The sequence below is a fragment of the Homo sapiens genome, chromosome 3 (assembly GCF_000001405.40).
Source record: "Homo sapiens chromosome 3, GRCh38.p14 Primary Assembly".
In the NCBI taxonomy this organism is placed as follows: Eukaryota; Metazoa; Chordata; class Mammalia; order Primates; family Hominidae; genus Homo; species Homo sapiens.
In genome coordinates this window covers 300,000-321,967 of record NC_000003.12, presented here as the reverse complement: position 1 = coordinate 321,967, position 21,968 = coordinate 300,000, and the positions used below count along the sequence as shown (strand labels likewise).

At 35.6% G+C, this 21,968-nt stretch overlaps 1 protein-coding gene and 1 pseudogene across 18 annotated transcripts in view; one reads left to right on the top strand and one right to left on the bottom strand.

Annotated features, from left to right (window-relative positions):
* CHL1 (cell adhesion molecule L1 like) overlaps positions 1-21,968 on the bottom strand; it is a 212,655-nt gene that overhangs the window by 87,450 nt on the left and 103,237 nt on the right. For all 18 annotated transcript variants that reach the window (XM_017005566.2, NM_006614.4, XM_017005572.2 and 15 more), the window contains one exon: positions 2,101-2,285. In XM_017005566.2, coding sequence (XP_016861055.1) covers positions 2,101-2,191 — 91 coding nt within the window. In that variant the 5' untranslated portion in view covers positions 2,192-2,285. Of the gene's footprint in view, positions 1-2,100; positions 2,286-21,968 lie in introns of those variants that run through there.
* RPS8P6 (ribosomal protein S8 pseudogene 6) lies at positions 12,649-13,251 on the top strand (annotated as a pseudogene).

Here is a 21,968-nt window from a genome sequence, read left to right as displayed (position 1 = left end):
CAGCAATAACTAATTATTTGGGGAACGGAGCTAATAACCTTTGGGTGTTTATAAGAATATATATTCTACATTATAAATCCTTTCCTCTATAATTAAGCCAATTACAGAGACACCAGACTCCTTGACATTCAAATTGGATATCTGCCTTAGTTGCATTTATTTGTGAGTGCTCTAGAGCCCTGAAATAAATGAATAATATTCAGATGTTCTGAAAATATGCCATTAATATTTTATAACAATTGTTGTCTAAGGACCTTACAGCATGAAAATGCATAAGTAACTGAGACAACCAGAATAAAAATGTGGGCCAGGAATTAATACAAAATTTCACATCCTTCACCACTGACAAAGTAAGAAATGATGAAGAATAAATGTGTATGCCAGAGATTATGGTCAAAAATCTGAATCAGTAATCTCAGTGGCATCTTCGTTGCTATTCGGAAGACAATGTGAAATTATTAACATTTTTCCACAGGATTACCAAGAAGCTTGCTCTTAACTTGCTACTGCATACTCAAAGCAAAAGAATTCACTAAAGATGAAGGTACTTTAGACTCCCGACCAGAATTTCTACAAAAAGGCTGGTCAGTGAAGAAATCTAATACATTGTGTAGGCCGAAAGATTTCAGCCAAATGTAAAGCAGACTTTAAGTCTGTATATTTGTAGGTCAGATAAGTGGAATTTCTTAAGAAATGGAAATGTCAAAACAGAGCTTACTTATCTGTTAAAAATAATAGAGAAGGGATTTCTACCTGGGGGGATGGAACTACAATTTCAGTTCTTTCCAAAGTGCATAATATAAAATAGGTACATCAAGTAATTTAAGGTGGCCCTTAGAATAGTTTTTAAATACATTATATTATAGATAGTCAGAGAGTTGTTTCCTTTCTATTGACATTCAGTCTGTCTGAGCACTTCAAAAGCAACGTTTTAGTTAAGTCCCAACACTTTTCTAAGATGTATTAAATTTTATGAGCTCAAGATTATTTCTCTAGAATTTAGAAAATCCACAAATATCACCTGCAATGCTAAAATTCTAATAAACAACCAACACCTCTAATATAATAACCCTCCAAATTATATACAGAAGATGCAATAGAGATTATTCCTGAATGATACGGATAAAAATGTCTTAATAACCTCTCGTGGGTCTTTTAGAACCCATATGCATGTAATACAAGAAAAATCTGCAAGATCTATACATGGCAGACTTGATATACTATTACATATGTTCTGTTTGCAGATTTTTTTAGTTTTTATTTTTTTAAAAAAACAAAGTCTCACTATATTGTCCAGGTTGGCGTGCAATGTCTATTCGCAGGTGTGATCATTGCACACTATAGTCTTGAACTCCTGGGCTCAGGCAATCCTCCTGCCTCAGACTCCTAAATAGGTGGGACTACAGTCATGTGTCACCATGTCCTGCTGATGCTGATCTATTTTTTTAACTATTAATTACCATGGTTCGTTCAAACTGATTTATAATGGCTAAAAATCTGCATCCATTTTACCAATATATGTTAGAATATATATTTATATATTTCCATCAGACTACTGTTTAACCTCTTAATATGAATTCACACTATATAATGCCGTAAATTTTGAGAGTTCATATCATCTTATACTTTTACTTGTAAAATGGCTTATTGTTTTGCTAATTCATTGTTTTCATTCTTAAATATAATCATTTTGAAAAAGAATACAAAGTTCATCCAATTCCTTTTCGACATAATTTGTTGAATGCCAGTAATTTCTGAATCTTGATTAACTAACCTAAGTATACAAAAGTGAAGTTGTTGGTAATATTGCAGATAATCCAAGACATATGGAAAAATACTAGCTTATCTATAGGTTACTATTCTTGTTATGTTCTAAGTTTGCATAAGGAACTAAAAGCCTGGGTTGCAAAATAATTACAGCAGTCATGTATCAGCCACCCACAAAACGAAAAAGATAGATATGAATTCTCATGACAGATTGCTAAAGAATATATAGAAATATGGTAGAAAAGTCACATCCTCAATCCATAAGTATTCTACTTAAAAATCAAAATGCAAATATGAAATTCCATTAATAGGCACTGAATGTTTTAACTTTACCTGAAGATGGTATTTCAATTGCTTTTGAGAATTTTAACAGGAGGAACATTAGATATACGATTAGTCCTCTTCCAAGTAAAAGCGGCTCCATTGCTCTTCAGGAAGAAGACAACCCGGTAAGAATGAAAATCTTAATGTCTCCTCTCACTTTTGGTTTACAGCTGAGACCTTAGTTAACCTGGAAACTAAAAACACAAACAGAATAACATGTTAGTTCACAAACTCTAAAATTTCAACAGAACAAATTAAATACCTTCTTTTTTTTTTTTTTTTTTTGGTTTGGCAGTATGTTTCCTCCTTATGAAACTGTTCTCTCATAACTCCGCATGAATGAAATTAGTTTTTCCTCTTTGTATGTAAAATAAAGGACAGCGAATATATACTCTATTGTAAACCACAGACTATTCCAAAAAATCCTAAGTCAGAGGAAGTTTTACTTGGAAGGTATGATATTATACACATGAGTGGTTTTTCTTTTTTATTCTCAACTTCTATTTTAGATTCAGGAGGTAACTTTGCAGGTTTGTTACATAGGTAAATTGAGTGCCACTGAATCTTGGTGTATACATGATTCCATCACTCAGGTAATGAGCATAGCACCCGATAGGTAGTTTTTCAATCCTCACTCCTTCTTACCCTCCCCCATCTAGTAGTCCACAATTATTCTATTATTCTTATCTTTATGTCCATAATATTCTATTATTCTTATCTTTATGTCCATAATATTCTATTATTCTTATCTTTATGTCCGTGTGTATTCAGTGTTGGACTTCCACTTCTAAATGAGAACATGTGGTATTTGGTTTTCTGGTCCTGAGTTAATTTGCTTAGAATAATGACCTCCAGGTGCATCCATGTTGCTGCAAGGACACAATTTTGTTCTTTATATGGCTGTGTAGTATTCCATGGTGTATATGACTGATGAGTGTTAATGGCTAAGACAATAACTTCATTTAGTTAATTTTATTTAAAAAGTGGTTCTTTTTTACTCAGTTCCTCATATTAGATATCTATTCCCATTTGAGTCATTATTAAGGATCACAAATACATCAATGATTTTTCCGGTGAAATAGCTTTTCATCTTCAAAGTTTTCACACTAATAGAAGATGGATAGTTCCAGCAAGATAGAGGAAAGAAATAATAAAGAACAAAAGAATAAAGGCCACCATTTTAACTGAAATTTACAAATGTGAGTTTGGTTCAAGCAGAAGACAAAGGCGTAAGATGCTTCTCATTTAAACAGAATATTTATTCATTTCAAAGTTTACAGAAATAGAATAAGAATTAAGGTTTTAATTTTTTTTACTTTCTCTTACAATTTCAATTTTTTTCTGAAACATTGTGTTAATAGATGTCTAAACATTGTTTATACATTGTCTATCATGTATTCTTGCAGGTAATAATACAATAATTTGCTCCAAAATGTGAGAATTAGTCTTTCAGGTATGTAATTTTGTTTTGTTTTCTAAAAATCAATTACTCTATGTGTTCACTTAGAACTGGTGAAAAAAGTTAGCTAACACAGAGATAGTAAAGTCTTTAAACTTACATTAAATTCTAAGTATTTCCGCTTTATTATTTCACTTTAAATTGCATCTTAAGATATTATAGACCTGTATCTTTTGTATATATGTACCGATTGGTAAAATTTAAAGTAGTAACTAATGGCTGTTGTTTCACAGTTTTAGCAGTCTTAAGGAACAGCAACACTGTTTATGCTTTACTTTGAGAACAAAATTATATTAATCATAAAAGAAAATACTACCCTCCCACCTCCAAAAAAGTTGTGAATCTTTGTCCTGAATTAGAGTAATGGCATTATTCTACTCTGGCTGACCTCAACTGACCCATCTTAAAATGGGAATTGGAAAAAATGACTCATGTATGCTTCAGAATATTTTCTAATGACAAATAACTTATACTTGTAATTTAACTTCTACTGGTAAATTTAACATATATGTTCAATGTGTCACTATGTTAATTGACACTACTCTTCTGATGAAATGAGTTATCCTAATCAATGAAATAAAACATGGAAAAATGCTTTCATTATAAAAAGCAAAATACTGCCTTAACTACAAAAGGTGAGTCCTACGTATTTGTACAAAGTTGGGAGACATTAAACCATGTAGCTATTATTAATATGAAAATTTTGAGGAAAATATCAATGCCCTGCCCCTTCGAATTTTCTTTTTCCTGTTTTTTTTTTTTTCTGAAACAGTTTGGTAATAGTCATCTAAAGTCATTGTTTATTATATATCAATCTTTACTTGCAATCTAGTTATTATTTAATACTCGGTTCCATTAGTTTTCAATGCTGATGGCTTTAAGAGCATCTCATGTATGTGTTTTATGAGTTGCCTTTTATTTGTAAGGAGCAAGACTTTCCCAAGTATTATGCTACTAGGAGATCGTATTTCCAGATTAATATTTAACATCATCTCACCTCTGAAATAGGGAACAAGAATAACTAGATAGCCAAATAAGTGAGAACACTCTCAATTTCCATTAATCTCTTGACTTAGGGCAGTAAGTTCACTGGTCTCTAATTTTAGTAAAGTAGCTTATAGATACTAATTATTCAGTAATGGTGATCCCATTTTTTGAATTTTAATCGTTTTAAATGCATGGTCTTGACCCAAGAAATTCTCTCCCATAATGACATCATCACTTTTCAGAATATGAATAATGACTAATTCTACATATGACCTTACCTCCTGCAGGAATTAGCTTCAATTTACCTGAAATTTGTATGTTCACAGGCTACAACATAAAAATTATTAGAAGTTTAAATGTGACCCCGTTCAAGTAAGACTCCATTAGCTGACGATGAAAGCTCCAAAATAGCTTTCAGATTGAAAACGGAAAGTCAGTCTTAGTTTCATTGCCAGAATTCATAAAGGGTATGTTTCTTAGGAATTCCATTTTGCAACAGTAAGATAGCAATAAAATTATATTCCCATTTATCTTTCTTGAAACAATGGCATTTAATGCCTCATGCTAGACCTCAAAGATAATAGCAATTGTTGAAACTCAGGATGGAGCTGGCACTAAGACAAGAACTAATTTTTTTAAAATTTTTACTTTCTATGAGTATCTAGTATTTATAGGGTACATGAGATGTTTTGATACAGGCATACAATGTGGAATAATTACATCAGGGTAATTGGGGTATCCATCACCTGAAGCATTTATCATTTCTTTGTGTTATAAACATTCCAGTCATACTCTTACTAAAATATTTTTGAAGTTAAGTCACATGAAGCTGATGTCTGATAGCTTATATTAATGATATCAACTCAGATCCACAAAGAAATCTATTAATTTTTATGAATCTGGGTAAACTGGGTTAAATTTTAATTCCTACGATCGTAGCTCATCCTTAGGAAAAAAAACATCCCTGCCAACCACTTCAAAAGAAAAATTTAGCTTGGTGCAAAAGTTATTGTGGTTTTTGCCATCAAAAGCCACAATAACTTTTGCACCAACATAATACATATCTTACTGTCACATCTTACTGACATAGGAGTTAAGAAGAAATTACTTAGGCAGATAGTGAGGGTACTAGAGTCCTCGGTAAGGTTTTCCTTTTCAATGAAATGCAGCCCCCAAATTATTTTCTAACAAAGAGCAACCTGTAAAATAGAGCTGCAGACATAGACCCTGGCAGTTGTGCCAATCATGTTCAAAAATGGTGGCTCCATCTTCCCTTCCCAGCCACATGTACAGTAAGGAGCAGACAAGATGGCACCGGTCAACTGGAAAGCCCATTCACATAAGATTAGGGTAATAAGAGTAGGGTGGCAAGCCTTTTCTGCACACTATGTAAACGTCACACCTGATCGAACCAATCTGTGGGCCCTGCATAAATCAGACACCACCTCCTCAAGCCTGTCTATAAAATATAGTGCATCCGCAGCAGGCCAGCCTTTTCCTCTGGGAAGCCCCTCTCTCTCACTAGAGAGAGAGTTGTTTTCCTTTATCTTTCTTTCTCTTTCTTTTGCCTATTAAACCTCTGCTTCTAAACTCCTCATATGTGTCCATGTTCTAAATTTTCTTGACATGAGACAATGAACCCCAGGTATTTACCCCAGACAATGCAGTCGCTTCAATGCAATGGAACCTTCCTGACTCCCTCAGGTTCTCCAGTACGACTAGTGGGATAAGAATTAAGAATACACTGATTTCAAGACATTAGTTTAACATGGACAAGCGTGCGTACCTCCTAGGGCAACTTCCAACACAACAAAAAGGAAATAAAATTCTTTGCCTCTTCAAAACAGAAGCCTCTAACATACACATCATGAGTATTATAAAGTGACCACATAGATCCCCTTGATGTTTTTAAAAGTGCTCCATGGTGGCAAATCTAGAAACAACTTGCTCCCTTAATTTAAATTCATATTATTCCTTGAGAAATGGAGGAGAGAGATGGCTAAGTCTTTGTCCATTCTACTTGGCCTCCCAAGTAAGTGCAAAGCTACTGTGGCCTCCTGACTGGTCACATGACAAAGTGATGTGCAGTGATGAGACCATGGGAAAGTTAGTATGACCTGGGTTCAAAGCCACCATTGCTAGATGGCTGTGGGCAGTTTACCCAGCCTGCTCACTCAGCTGTACAAACTGGGGTGATAGTTGCTGCTGTATAGCACACTTATGAGATTTAAGTGAGGTAATGTGTCATTAGCAGAGAAAAATAAATAAAATTTGCTAATACTAGTGAAAGTGATGATCATTGTGTTGATAGTGGCAATGAGGATATAGTCCCTCCTACTAATATTCTGATCCAAGGAGCATGGTTAACTTTGTGGATGCTATTAGAGTTACAAAATCATAACAACTTACAAAATAAAGGCAAATTCTCTAAAGTATATAGTGGTGAAATGATATTGATTGATATAAAATACTCTCCCCAAAAGTGTGAGAGTGTAGTAGATTGATTGCAAAATCTTCTCTGATTCTCTTCCCCTCTTTGTGGTCACACTCTCTGTAATAAGACTTTGTAGCTCCTCCTAAGAAGCTATTTCCTCACTTCTTGAATCTGGTAGGCTTTTGACCCTAGGATGAATTCTAGTCTAGGCCTCAAGAAGCCTTGCACCTTTTTCCTCTTTCTCTCTGTCTCTGAAAACTCTGCTCAGCTATTTTAAAAAGAAGCCTGCACTACCCTGTTGGAAGATAAGAGACATTTTGCCCATCATCCCCATCATCCTGGCCAACAGCCAGCCAGCCACTAAACGTAAAATGGCAGCCATCCTAGATGAGACTGCCCTACTAACCTGTCAGCTGAACACAGATGCTAGAACCAGCTGGTCAGTATCAGTCAAGACTGGCTAAGTTCAGCAGAATCTCCCAAAGAAACAGTAGACTTAGGAACAATAATAAATGTTTCCTTTATTGAATCAGTGTTTTGGGATGGTTTTCAAGGTAGAAATAGCTAATTTAGGTAGAAGAGATAGAATAAACAAATTGATGCAATAATGAATATTGCTGAAGCAGATATATATATATATATATATATATATATATATATATATATACACATAGAGAGAGAGAGAGAAAGAGAGAGAGTGCAAGATTGGGGGGAGGTTATGCTAATCTTTCTATTGGGGGTGCATTTTAACATTTTCCTAATGGAAACATTTTTAATGTTTATTCAGTCTTTGGAAATCAGAAATCAGCCTAAAATATTTCAACAGCAGTAAGGAGATTCTTTAGGCAAAAGGTAGACAAAATCTTGAGAATGCCTGCTGCCATACATCTAAAATAAAAATAAAAAACAAACAGAAAAAAAGACTTTCTTAAAGCTACCATACTGTCTGCACCTCTTCTATTGGAACAAGATGAGAAAATGTGGGGTTTCTTTAAACATCAGTGTGTATGTTCTGCATATTTAGTTTAAGCAACTAATGTAACTCATTGCTTTTTCTTTCTTGGTTTAAGAGTTTTGAAAGTTATAGCCCACCTAAAGAAAATGTAAGCCCATTTTATAGTACACCATCATTTAAGTCTTGGTAGCTGTTAGTATACATGATGCCTGTTCATTTTTCTTTAATGCTTTGATCCTTAATTCACCAACTTTGCATTATGTTTCCACTGGAGACTGTTTAAATTCCAATAATAAAGCATAGAAAGGCAACAATGCATACAAATGGTTAAGACTAAGTTTTCACTTTGGACAATTATAGATCATTCCACCATTATAAACTGAACACTAAAACAAATTATTTTAAAATTACTTTAAAGACCCAAGGCTATTGTTAATGTACTCTGAATAATAATCATTTCCTAATAATCACTTGTTTTTTTCACCTAACAGTCATGATGTCATGTTTACACAAAACCTTTGGCACTATGGTTCTCTAATGGCTCTAATGAATAGTAAATGCTTCGATTTTCCCTTTTGCAAATAACATTATTCAAATTTATATGCTGGAATTTAAAAAAAGAGGTTTCTACTTTATCCTAGAGGGAAATAGAATCTGATGAGTGTGATACATGGGCAAAAAGCAGCTTAGAAAGGCAGCTGGTTTGACATAGCACATTTTATTTTAGTGATTTTTAAAAATCCTTGACATTTTTTCTGAATAATTATTCACAAACAGTTTTAGGTCAAATTTCCAAGAAGAAAATATAACACAGCAAATTCAGTGAACAAAAGGTGACTCTTATCGTCACCATTTTAAAAACTTTTTCATTTCTATGGCAGCAACTACACAAAGCAGAAATGTCAGTGACAGTCCATCTGCCATTTTCATTGACAACATGGAATGCACACAGCCAAAAAAGAAGGGAAAAAAAAGCATGCTACGTTGACATTCCTCTTCACTAAGAAACAGCATTAAGTTGTTTCAGCTACTATGAGTTCCAGAGGTAGAAATTAACTTCATGCATGCAAAATCATTAAACAACATTTTTCTACTCAGGATGCTTGAAATAGATCAACAACTTTTATTATAGCCAGCAGGAAGAGATATTTTATGACACTGGCATCCAAATTATAGTTTTAAAAATAACTCAATGGATTTGTATAATAGTCTGAGACAGTGCTATAACTCGGAAATGTTTAAATTTTCTTTTCTCTCCATGATAAAATGGCTTAAGAATCACTGAGCTGCATCAAGCAAGATGTCTTATATAAAGCCATTTGACATTTTCATGATGGAGTGGATGTCACCTTCACTTCTCTCTGACCTCAAGTGTCCCTTTATGAAACTCCTTTTTATGTGATTATCAGGCTAGGTTAAACTATTCCCCTGGTTTGGAATCAGTTCTTATGGGGAGGAGGTCCAGCAAATTTCCATAAGCCTGAAGTGTGATCTGAATCACTCAACATTGTGAAGCTGAGAAGGATAAACACATACACAAACATTAAAAGGCTTTTGTTCAATCACCTGCCTGGCTAATACCATAAATCAATTTACAAGTGTCATAAACACAGTAATCCTGAAATAACTGTTAATGGCTTTTACTCTGAAAACAAAGGAAACACTGTGCATTATAGCCATATCCATTCAAACACTCTTTCATGTCTCATAACACCGCAGTGACACGACAAAAGAACTGCTTAGAGTGTTAACTCATCATCCCTGCAGAGCTGGCACATTTTGTACACAGTAGATCAAAGGAATGTCGATGTTATTATAAGCAAATTGATTTTATTGGGAAAATGTCAGCTTTAGTTAATAATGATGTGGGATAAACTAATATCATTAATAATATCATTTATTTAAATAGCAAATTACTGTGGTTGAACTCTAACTGGAATATAATTGAATATAACCTATATATACATACAGGTTATATAAAAACTTATGTATATACATGTTTTTGTTTTCCCACCTATACATGTAAGATTCTTAAAAAATAGTATACTGTAATGACATCTAATTCAAATTGTTTCACAGTGGAGACTAAGAAAGAAAATTACGGAAATTCATGGTCATTTGACTACAGGGATGGAGAATAATCCCAACATTAAGTTATTTTCTGAGTTATTTCTCAGAAAACAACTTATATAGCTGTGAAATTCCTGTAGGGACTATTTTTCAAATTAAATAAAAATCTCAGATGTACTAAAATGCACAAAACTTAAGTGTACAGCTCAGCAAACTTTTACATATGTATAAATCCAGGTAACCACTTTTCACATTTCTTAAGGACTTTCAGTCACTAAAAACATTCCACTAGCTTCACTCCTGGAGCATCCCACATGGCCAGCTCATAAGAGGGTAAGACCTGTTTGTGTTCCTCTAGCCTTTTGGATTACAACCAAGGTGCTATCTCTCCTCCAGGTGATATTTGGATTATGTGGGAGCAGCTGGGGTTGTCACATGACTGGGCAGTGCTATTTGCATCCAGTGGGCAGGAGCCGTGGATAATAAACGACCTGCAGGGCTCAGCACAGTCCTGCCCAAGGAAGAACAGCCCTACCTGAAAAGTGCAAACCCTCACTGTGACAGATACTGATGCTATAGTATGCTGGGTAAAAAAAAAAAAAAAAAAGTTGTGTGGTCAATAAATTGTGGATATAGTATATGCATTACTATTGAAGCAGTCACAATGGAGTACAGTTTGATGGCTTCCCCCAAAACTAAACAAACTCTCACATGTGATCCAGCCATTGAACTCTTTGGTTTTTACCCAAAGGAGTTGAAAACTTATGTCCACAAAAAACTTGTACATGGATGTTTAACAGCTTTATTTATATTTATCAAAATTTGAAAGTCACCAAGATATTCTTTGGTAGGTAAATGGATAAATAAACTATACTGTGTCCAGACAATGGAATATCAGTGGTAAAAAGAAATGAGCTATCAGCCATGAAAAGAGGTGAAGGAAACCTAAAGGCACATTAAGTGAACAGGCCAATTTGAAAACACCAGATACTGTTTGATTCTAACTACACGACACTCTGGAAAAGGCAAAACTATTGAGAAAGTAAAAAGATAAGTGGTTGTGAGGGGTTAAGGGAGAAGAGGGAATGAATAGGAGGACAGGATTTTTACGGCAGTGAAACTACTTTGTATGATACTACAATTGTGGATATGTGTCACTATACCTTTGTCAAAACCCGTAGAATGTATACACCAAAAGAAACCCGAATGTAAACTATAGATTTGGGGCGTTATTGATATGTCAATGTAGGTTCATCAGTTGTAACAAATGCACACTGCTGGTGGTGTTGATAACGGAGAGGCTGTGCATATGCAGAACCGGTAGTATGAGAGAAATTTCTGCACGTTCTGCCCAATTTTGCTGTGAACCTAAAACAACACTAAAAAATGAAATCTTCCTGGAAAGAAAAACTGCAATATGTGAGAGGAAGCAATAATAATATATGACAGATTTCTAAGCTATAACAAAAAATCAACTTCAAAAATATATTTGTAAATTAAAGAGAACATCCTCTTAATTCTTTTTCAGATTTTCATCACTCACTCCCACCTTGGACACCTAAAATCACAGCAGACTGATAACAGCAGTGGTGAAATCACTCAGTCTTAAACTCTTGGCTCAAGTGAGCATCCTGCCTCAGCCTCTCTAGTAGCTGGGATACTATAGGCATCCGCCACCACATGCAGCTAATTAAAAAAAAAATTATAGAGATAGGGGTCTCACTATGCTGTCCAGGCTGTTCCCAAACTCCTGGCCTTAAATGATCCTCCCACCTCGACCTCCCAAAGTGCTAGCCACTGTGCCCAACCCATGAATGCTCATTTTTAAAACTGTCTTCTCTCCTTCTCTACTATTCTCTTGTTATTAAATACCATCCCCTCTGTTTGTCTCCTCTTTATTTTTTTCACATATATATCAACATTGATCAGTACCATGGCAGGAATTTTCAAAAAAGAAATGAGGCACTTCCAGGTAAGCTGAAAGGTCTGTCCCTTATTTTCCATTAATAGAAAAATGACTCTCATTGAGTCTGGAAACTAATGATAAAAATTTAACCATAACAATAAATTCAGAATTTTTTAAAGGATAATATATATAATGTTTGATTACAACTTACAGTTACATTTAAAAGTAGAAAACTAATTAGAAAAACATAGGATCAAGTGCAGTGCCTCATGCTTGTATTCCTAGCACTTTGAGAAACTGAGGCTGGAGGATCACCTAAGGCCAGGAGTTCAAGACCAGTTTGGGCAACATAGTGAGGCCCCATCTCTACAAAGATTTTCTTTTTTTAAATTAGCAAGGCATAGGGTACGTGCCTATACTCCCAGCTTCTCAGGAGGCCAAGGTTGGAGGATTGCTTGAGCCCCAGAGTTTCGGGCTAGAGTGAGCTATGATTCTGCCTGGGCAACAGAGTGAGACCGTTTCAAAAAAAGGAAGGAAGGAAGGAAAGAAGGAAGGAAGAGGAAGGAGAAAAAGAAAGAAAGAGAGAGAGAGAGAAGGAATAAGAAAGAAAGAAAGAGAAAAGAAAGAAAGAGAAAGAAAGAGGAAGAAAAGAGAGAAAGCAAGGAAGGAAGGAGGAAGGAAGGAAGGAAGGAAAGAAAAAGAAAATATATACCTAAGTTTTTCTTTCCAACCAGCGCCCAGCACCGGGCATCTCTCACGACAACTGGCACAAGCAGCAGAAGGCACAGGGGCAAGAGAAGGAGCTGCCACAAGAAGCGGGAGTCTGAGCTGGGGTGCGCACTGCCAGGACTAAGGCGGGCCCTCGCCGCATCCACGCGGGGTGTGTGTGGGGAGGCCGTGGGAAATACTGGGCTCTGAGGCTGGACCCGGGAACTTCTGTGGCTGGGAGTGTTGCACTCGCAAAACGAGGGTCGCTGATCTTGTCTGCGTGTGACCCACAGCCAGCCGGCCTGCACCGGGGCCCTGGCGAGGAGCTGCCGGCCGCGCACCTTGGCAACAGCAGTGCGAGCTCCACTGTGCACCGTCCGGGCCACAAGAAGGGGGCCCAGCGGACTCCTGAGGAGGAAGAGATTTTAAACAAAAAACGATCCAGAACAAATTCAGAAAAAAATATAATGAAAGGAAAATGAATGCCGCAAACAGCAGTCTTCTGGAGGAGCAGTTCCAGCAGGGCGAGCTTCTGTCGTGCATCGCATAAGGATGGGGCCGTGCTGAGCAGAGGGCTACACGTGCTAGAGTGCAAGGAACTGGAGCTCCATCTGAGCCAGATCAAGGTCTGGAGAGGCAAACCAACGCGCCTCCTTCCTGTCTCAGCTCACCTAATAACGGTGTTTATCATTCTAGTATATATATTATATAATATAGATATCATTGCATATTATTATAACATATATATGTTCTATAATATAGATATTATCTATATATATAATCTCCCTATGTTTATATGACTATCTATGTTTATATGATTATCTATCTATCTATCAGCTGTCTATCTATATCTCCCAATGTTTTGGATGGTTTTAATCTACTTCTCCAGTTTTTTGTGTTAATCAAATTGTTCAGGTGGATATCAGTAGTGAGCACATTACTTATAAAACTAAAATAAACAAGGGCTCACAATTTTTTGTACCTGCCTTGTCTACATATTTGTAGGAGACTGTACATTTTATGAGGCAGTTGCCAGATCCTATTCATTATTTTTGCGCTTGCCTAGAATATAGGAAATACACATAATAAATCCTTCTGGATGAACGAATGAATTTCATACATATGTCCACAAAAGAATATAATCTGCATAGATATAGACGGTTGATAAAATTCTGAATTCCTTTTATTTTCTCATTCATCCAAAGACAACTCAGAAATTAAACTTTCTGAAATACTCGTTAAAGTAAATATGGATCTGAATGTAAAACACTGAGCTGAACATTGCTGGGCTTCTCACAATAATTCCATAAAGGCTAATAGAACTTTAAATGAATATCTCTCAACCTCATTCATTTTACAGTGTCTACTTAAGGCCAACCATATTCATAGGTTTTAGTGGTTCTTAAAAGTGTCAACAAAAACAAATCATTAACTTTTCTGAAATTTACTTTAAAATACTTTAGCATAGGCTGTGTGGTAATGTAGAGGCTACTGAATTTTAATGTACCCCATAAGTATAGTCAGTCAATATTCAAAAGGTCTTAAACAAAACTCTTCTAAATCTCTAGTCAAATGTAGCAGCACTGGTTACTACATGTACTTCAGGTATCTTTATTTCGTAAAGTATGTTAAGTGTGTAAGTATGGCTTAATCACTATAGTCGATGTTAGCAGAATGTTCCATTAAAAAAAAACAAGTAGTGTTGTATATATTGGTGGATTTGCTAGAAATGTTTGCTCAGACACAAGCATCCTTGAGTGAATAGGATATTAAAAAATCAAGGGAGCCCCACAGCCTAAACACAATTTCATTGCACTCCAGGCTTAGGATTTCATTCATTTTTGCAATGAGTGTTTTTTCCTATGACTCCAATCGAAAATGTAGCTGAATCCTGCAGCTAGAATATTATCTCATCTGCCTCTAGTGAAGCTTTCTTGCAGATTTCTGTCACAATGCCTCAAAGGTTTAACAGCTGGGACTCCATCAAGCTGACAGAATACAGGGTATAATTCTGTGAAGTGTACGTTTGTGTGTGTAAATGCATGCTTGTGCATGTGTACACATACTTATGAGCATATGTGTACATTTGATGGCTAATACATATTTGTTTGTCTGGACAATTTCATCCTAAGACTGTCCTTGCCACATAGCATCTGGTAGCTAGGTTATAAGAGAAAATTAAAACTCTCATTTTTCTCTAGGACTTGGAAAATATTGATACCTATAAAAAGTAACCTAATGACCAAAAATTAGGTCAGGATGCAAATATGAAGAAACTATTATCTGCGGTAAACTTTCTATATGGAATCATTGTCAGAAAATATACTCTTTAGAAATGTGAGCAAGTTATACACCATTAGCCTTAACCTAAGGCCATTTCTCAGGTTGTATTTAAAGTACGAATTCCAACAGTTGGTACTTGAATATGATTTTATTTTTCTTTGCTCATCAAAAGGCACTTAAGGATCTTGTAGTGACAGGGATGGTCATCATAATTATCAACTGCTAGTGAACATTAAGCATTTGAATATGACATTAATAGATTCTTTCAGAGATGAAAAGGCTGCATGATTAAGATAAATAGTTCATGGTTTGGGATATCTCACCTTTGATTTTTTTATCTCTATACTGTTTCATAACTGTTTATTTTTTGCATTATTTTTTTTGTCATCACATTTCTTTTTCCATTCTCTGAGACAAATTTTTTGGTTAAAGACAATTTACTGGTTGAAAAATGCTAAACACCAAACAGTGATACAAAAAACTTTAGTCTTATTTTCCTCTAAAATCTGTAGTTCACAGAAACATCCCTCTTGTCAATTCAAAATTTTCAAGTGGAATATAATAAAGCAAACCAACTATAATCAGAGAGATTTGGGGCATAATCACATCCCAGTGGTTGTTTAAATGGGATTTTTTATTCAAATTCAAAAAGGTATAGGTATTTTTGTTGCAAACAGTTTAATAGATGTATCAGTGCTTTGGATATGTTGGTAGAAATTTTAATCTTCTCACTGTACAAATCATTAAAAGCAAACGTATTCTATTCAAGCCATAAGATACAAAGTATGATTTCCAGATACTTAAGACACATTTATAAGAAACTCATAATTTCCTTTGGCTCATCTTCTGCTCCAACGATGGCATTAGAGCTGTCAACACTGATTGATCGTTCCCTGTGCTTGTATGAGAAGAATTAATGCCAAATCCCGGGCCAATGACCTAGATCCCTAAACCCTTCATATCTTGTCCTCGTTTTCCATGAATAAGAAATAAGAACAGGAAGGCAATATCAGTTACTATGTCATTTTTGAACTGATTACCTTCTTCATTTGCATGATAACCAGTTAGATTCAATTTTCTGGATATAATGTGCAGTTTACTTAAATACACATGTTTAATAGTCTTATGTGTTTTGATTCCAATATTGATAATATTTCTAAGAACTACTGTTTTTATCATCACGTACCATTTTTAATTAATTTGTTTTTACTTATTTTACAATAAAATATATTCTTATTGTAACAGAAAATAATGGCAAAGGAACGTATTCAGTAAAAATTTGAAGATTATACAACCCTCTTCTCCCCATCCCTGCCAGAAAACATTTAAGATATGAACACTTCCAGACATTTATATTTATTTTTATTTATATGTACATTTATATTATATATAATGTATAGTATGCCTTATATCTGTTATATAAATGATATATCTATTATTTTTTGTTAAGTGAAAAAAGCAAGTTATAGGGTGTTATCTATAGAACAAACAGGTAAAGACCATGGGTTTTTCCTAGAAAAATCACAAGTTACTAGGCACTCGAAATTCAGTTTGGAAAAAGGATTACTGAAGGAGAAACTGTGAAAGATCTTAAACTTTTTAGCTATAAAGTTATAATAGGGCAGAGGTCACTATCAGTAATGCAAGCGTTCTTAATCATGTCAACATTCCTAACTGTAATTCATTTATTGGATATATATTATATTTTTAAGCATTCACTCTACTCTAGAAAAGTTTTCTTTTACATCATATTTTTGTGATTCCAAAGATAATACTGTCGTCATTGAAATATACTGAATGACTAGCAGGTGACAAAGACAAAGTGTTCTGTAAATATTTTGATAAAACCTGAGATTAAATAAAAGTGACTTTTAGCCATGATACTTTCTTCCTTACTGTAGAGATTTTCCTTTGAATGAAAGAAATCAAACTGTCATTCTTTTCTACTAACATATCATTAGCACAAATCAATTATAACTCTAGAGATATGATGTTTTCCTAAATGTTATGGTTTGGCATGCAATTTGAATTCAACATGCCTGACAGTCAAAAACGAAATAAAGTTTATCCGTGACCAGATATGACTACCAGTATAATTTATCAGAGAGAAATTGATAAAATAAAAGCTCCCACCAAGTCATTTAAGGAGTGTCTTCTTTCCATTTAAAGCAGTGTTTAGAGGGAAATTTATAGCACTAAATGCCCACAAGAGAAAGCAGGAAAGATCTAAAATTGACACCCTAACATCACAATTAAAAGAACTAGAGAAGAAACAGCAAACAAATTCAAAAGCTAGCAAAAGACATGAAATAGCTAAGATCAGAGCAGAACTGAAGGAGATAGAGACACGAAAAACCCTTCAAAAAATCAATGAAACCAGGAGCTGGTTTATTGAAAAACTCAACAAAATAGTTAGACCGCTAGCCAGACTAATAAAGAAGAAAAGAGAGAAGAATCAAATAGATGCAGTAAAAAATGATAAAGGGGATATCACCACCAATCCCACAGAAATACAAACTACCATCAGAGGATACTATAAACACCTCTATGCAAATAAACTAGAAAATCTAGAAGAAATGGATAAATTCCTGGACACATACACCCTCCCAAGTCTAAGCCAGGAAGAAGTCAAATCCCCGAATAAAACAATAACAAGTTCTGAAATCGAGGAAGTAATCAATAATCTACCAGCCAATAAAGCCCAGGACCAGATGGATTCACAGCCGTATTCTACCAGAGGTACAAAGAAGAGCTGGTACCATTCCTTCTGAAACTATTCCAAACAACAGGAAAAGAGGGAATCCTCCCTAACTCATTTTATGAGGCCAGCATCATCCTGATACCAAAACCTGGCAGAAACACAACAACAACAACAAAAATTCAGGCCAATATCCCTGATGAACATTGATGTGAAAATCCTCAATAAAATACTAGCAAATGGAATCCAGCAGCACATCAAAAAGCAGCACATCAAAAAGCTTACCACCAGGTACGAAGTTGGCTTCGTACCTGGGATGCAAGGCTGGTTCAACATATGCAAATCAATACATGCAATCCATCACACAAACAGAACCAATGACAAAAGCCACATGATTATCTCAATAGATACAGAAAAGGCCTTTGATAAAATATAACACCCCTTCATGCTAAAATCTCTCAATAAACTAGGTATCAATGGAACACATCTCAAAATAATAAGAGCTATTTATGGCAAACCCACAACCAATATCATACTGAATGGGCAAAAACTGGAAGCATTCCCTTTGAAAACCAGCACAAGACAAGGATGCCCTCTCTCACCACTCCTATTCAACATAGTATTGGAAGTTCCGGCCAGGGCAATCAGGCAAGAGAAAGAAATAAAGTGTATTCAAATAGGAAGTCAAATTGTCTCTGTTTGGAGTTGACATGATTGTATAATTAGAAAACCCCATCTTCTCAGCCCAAAATCTCCTTAAGCTGATAAGCAACTTCAGCAAAGCCTCAGGATACAAAATCAACGTGCAAAAATCACAAGCATTCCTATCCACCAATAACAAACAGAGAGCCAAATCATGAGTGAACTCCCATTCACAATTGCTACTGAGATAATAAAATGCCTAGGAATACAACTTACAAGGGATGTGAAGGGCCTCTTCAAGAACTACAAACCACTGCTCAAGGAAACAAGAGAAGACACAAATAGAAAAGCATTCCATGCTCATGGATAGGAAGAATCAATATTGTGAAAATGGCCATACTGCTCAAAATAATGTATAGATTCAATGCTATCCCCATCAAGCTACCAGTGACTTTCTTCACAGAATTGGAAAAAAATTACTTTAAACTTCATATGGAACCAAAAAAGAGCCTGCATATCCAAAACAATCCTGGGCAAGAAGAACAAAGCTAGAGGCATCACGCTACCTAACTTCAAACTACACTACAAGTCTACAGTAACCAAAACAGCATGGTACTGGTACCAAAACAGATATATAGACCAGTGGAACAGAATGGAGGCCTCAGAAATAACACCACGCAGCTACAACCAACTGATTTTTGACAAACCTGACACACACTAGCAATGGGAAAAAGATTCCCTATTTAATAAATGGTGTTGGTAAAACTGGTAGCCATATGCAGAAAACTGAAACTGGACCCCTTCCTTACACCTTACACAAAAATCAACTCAAGATAGGTCAAAGACTTAAACGTAAGACCTAGACCATAAAAACTCTAGAAGAAAACCTGGGCAATACCATTCAGAACATAGGTATGGGCAAAGAATTCATGTCTAAAACACTAAAAGCAATGGCAACAAAAGCCAACACTGACAAATGGGATCTAATTAAACTAAAGAGCTTCTTCACAGCAAAAGAAACTATCATCAGAGTGAACAGGCAACCTACAGATTGGGAGAAAATTTTTGCAATTTATCCATCTGACGAAGACCTATCCAGAATCTACAAAGAACTTAAACAAATTTACAAGAAAAAAAGAAACAACCTGATCAACAAATGGGCAAAGGATATGAACAGACATTTCTCAAAAGAAGACATTTATGCAGCCAACAGACATATGAAAAAATGCTCATCATCACTGGTCATTAGAGAAATGCAAATCAAAACCACAATGAGATGCCATCTCATGCCAGTTAGAATTGCCATCTTTAAAAAGTCAGGAAACAACAGATGCTGGAGAGTTTGTGGAAAAATAGGAATGCTTTTACACTGTTGGTGGGAGTGTAAATTAGTTCAACCATTGTGGAAGACAGTGTGGCAATTCCTTAAGGATGCAGAACTAGAAATACCATTTGACCCAGCAATCCCATTACTGGGCATATACCCAAAGAATTATAAATCATTCTACGATAGACACATGCACATGTATGTTTATTGTGGCACAATTCACAATAGCAAAGACTTGGAACCAACCCAAATGTCCATCAGTGATAGACTGGATTAAGAAAATGTGGCACATATACACCATGGAATACTATGCAACCATAAAAAGGATGAGTTCTTGTCCTTTGCAGGGACATGGATAAAGCTGGAAACCATCATTCTCAGCAAGCTATCACAAGATCAGAAAACCATGCACCACATATTCTCACGCATAAGTGGGAGTTGAACAAGGAGAACACATGGATAAAGGGAGGGGAACATCACACACCAGGGCCTGTTGGCGGTGCGGTGCTGGGGAGGGATACCATTAGGAGAAATAGCTAATGTAGGTGATGGGTTGATGGGTGCAGCAAACCACCACGGCATGTGTATTCCTATATATCAAAACTGCATGTTCTGTACATGTAACCCAGAACTTAAAGTATAATAATAATAAAAAAGAGTGTCTTCTTTCCGGAAAAAGACTACAAGACAGCAAGTAATTTCCATGTAGTAATTGCACAATGTAACTACTATATGGCAATGCCGCATCTCTTTAGAAGTAGTGATTTTCACAGCAAGAATTCTGCTTTGCTTCTCATACTGTTAACTAGACAATGCTGAATCTCAACAAAGAGCTACACAATTGCAAAAGAATACCTTCTCTGAGCAACCAAAATCACCACCATTAAGTGTTGAATTATTCAGTGGGGATAATGGTACTCAAAATATAGCTGCTGGCTCTAACAAGTCACTTTTGCTTGTTTATTGGGTCAGAACAGCCAGTAGGAGGTTGGCAATGAATTCTCTTAAGCAGCACAGAACAGTTTCCTTTTTCATTTTCCTGATGTATATATTTTTGGTACAGCCAGAACTTCTAATTTACTCAGAGTTATGTCATCTGCCATCTGAAACACTAGGTGAACCAAAAATGTGGTCTGCAGACTAAGCCAGCCATGCATATTTGTGCATGAAGAAAATCCTATGGAAAGAACTTGATGAGGTTCAGCTCCCTCCTAATGTAGACACTCTGGGGTCTGAATCCCTTCTACCTCTACTTTGATTCCTCAGCACTTCCTATCTGTATTGCTCATGTAAAGGAGATCTGGGTTAATATTTTTAAAAAATGGAAACCTTCAATGGCATGTCATTACTCAGAACATGGATCAAAATCCTTATTATTCTGCAAATTCTGAGTGCTCTGGACTCTACACACATCTCTCATCTCTCTTCCCCCTCCTGAGCTTCAATTACATGTTCTTTTAACTTCCTAAACACTCCAATCTCTTGTTATAACTTTTCCATCAGTCTGGAGAATCCTTTACTTTCATCACCTTTTGCCTAGATGGCAACTCTTATCCTTCAGGTCTTAACACAGCTGCACTTTCTTCGGAAACCTTTCATATCACAAGGGTTTTCTCTTTTTTTTGTTGCACTTTTTTTTTTCCTAGAAATAAGATGTTTCACACGAGAGCACTTATCTCAGTTTCAAATTATACATTCACTAGTGTAATGTCTTATGATGCTTGTCTCTTACTAGACAATAAACTCAGGAGAGTAAGAAACATTCAGGCTTTGCTCATCATCATGTCGTCATTGCCAAAGGTATTGCCTTGCACAGAATAGGCACCCCATGAATAAAGCTGTTTAAATAAATAGTGAGTACATATAAAATAATTGGATGCCAATAAAAATGAAGAAATATAGTAAAAATTATAGCTTAACCACATTGTGCCCTACCTCCTTGTAAGGTTCTTGCCATTGAATGTGCTTTCCCATTCACTCTCACAAAGTCATCAGAACCCAAATCCATGTCTTCTATCCCATCACCTCTGTTTGCATCAGAGCCAGTTCCTGCCTGCCTATAAGCTACCCCCAACTCAAACAAAAAACTTTAGCATTCAGCCCCCACAAACTCAGTAAATCCAAAGGTTCATTTATTTTCTTTTTCTGGCAATTTCTATCTAAGTAGCCTCACTGCTCACTGTAGTGATTCAAACTGATATCTTGGGTCCCCTCAATGGTCACAGCAAGTCTTATTAGTTTTAGTTTCAATCAATTGATCTATGTTTGCCACTCCAGATTCTTCTTATTACTTCATCTCTGAAATATTATAGTAAGTTTCAAACAATTTTCTCTAACCACAGATTCTCTAAGCTGCCATTTTCCATCAATTGGTAAGCAATTTATCTTTCTGAAACCCAATACTGATC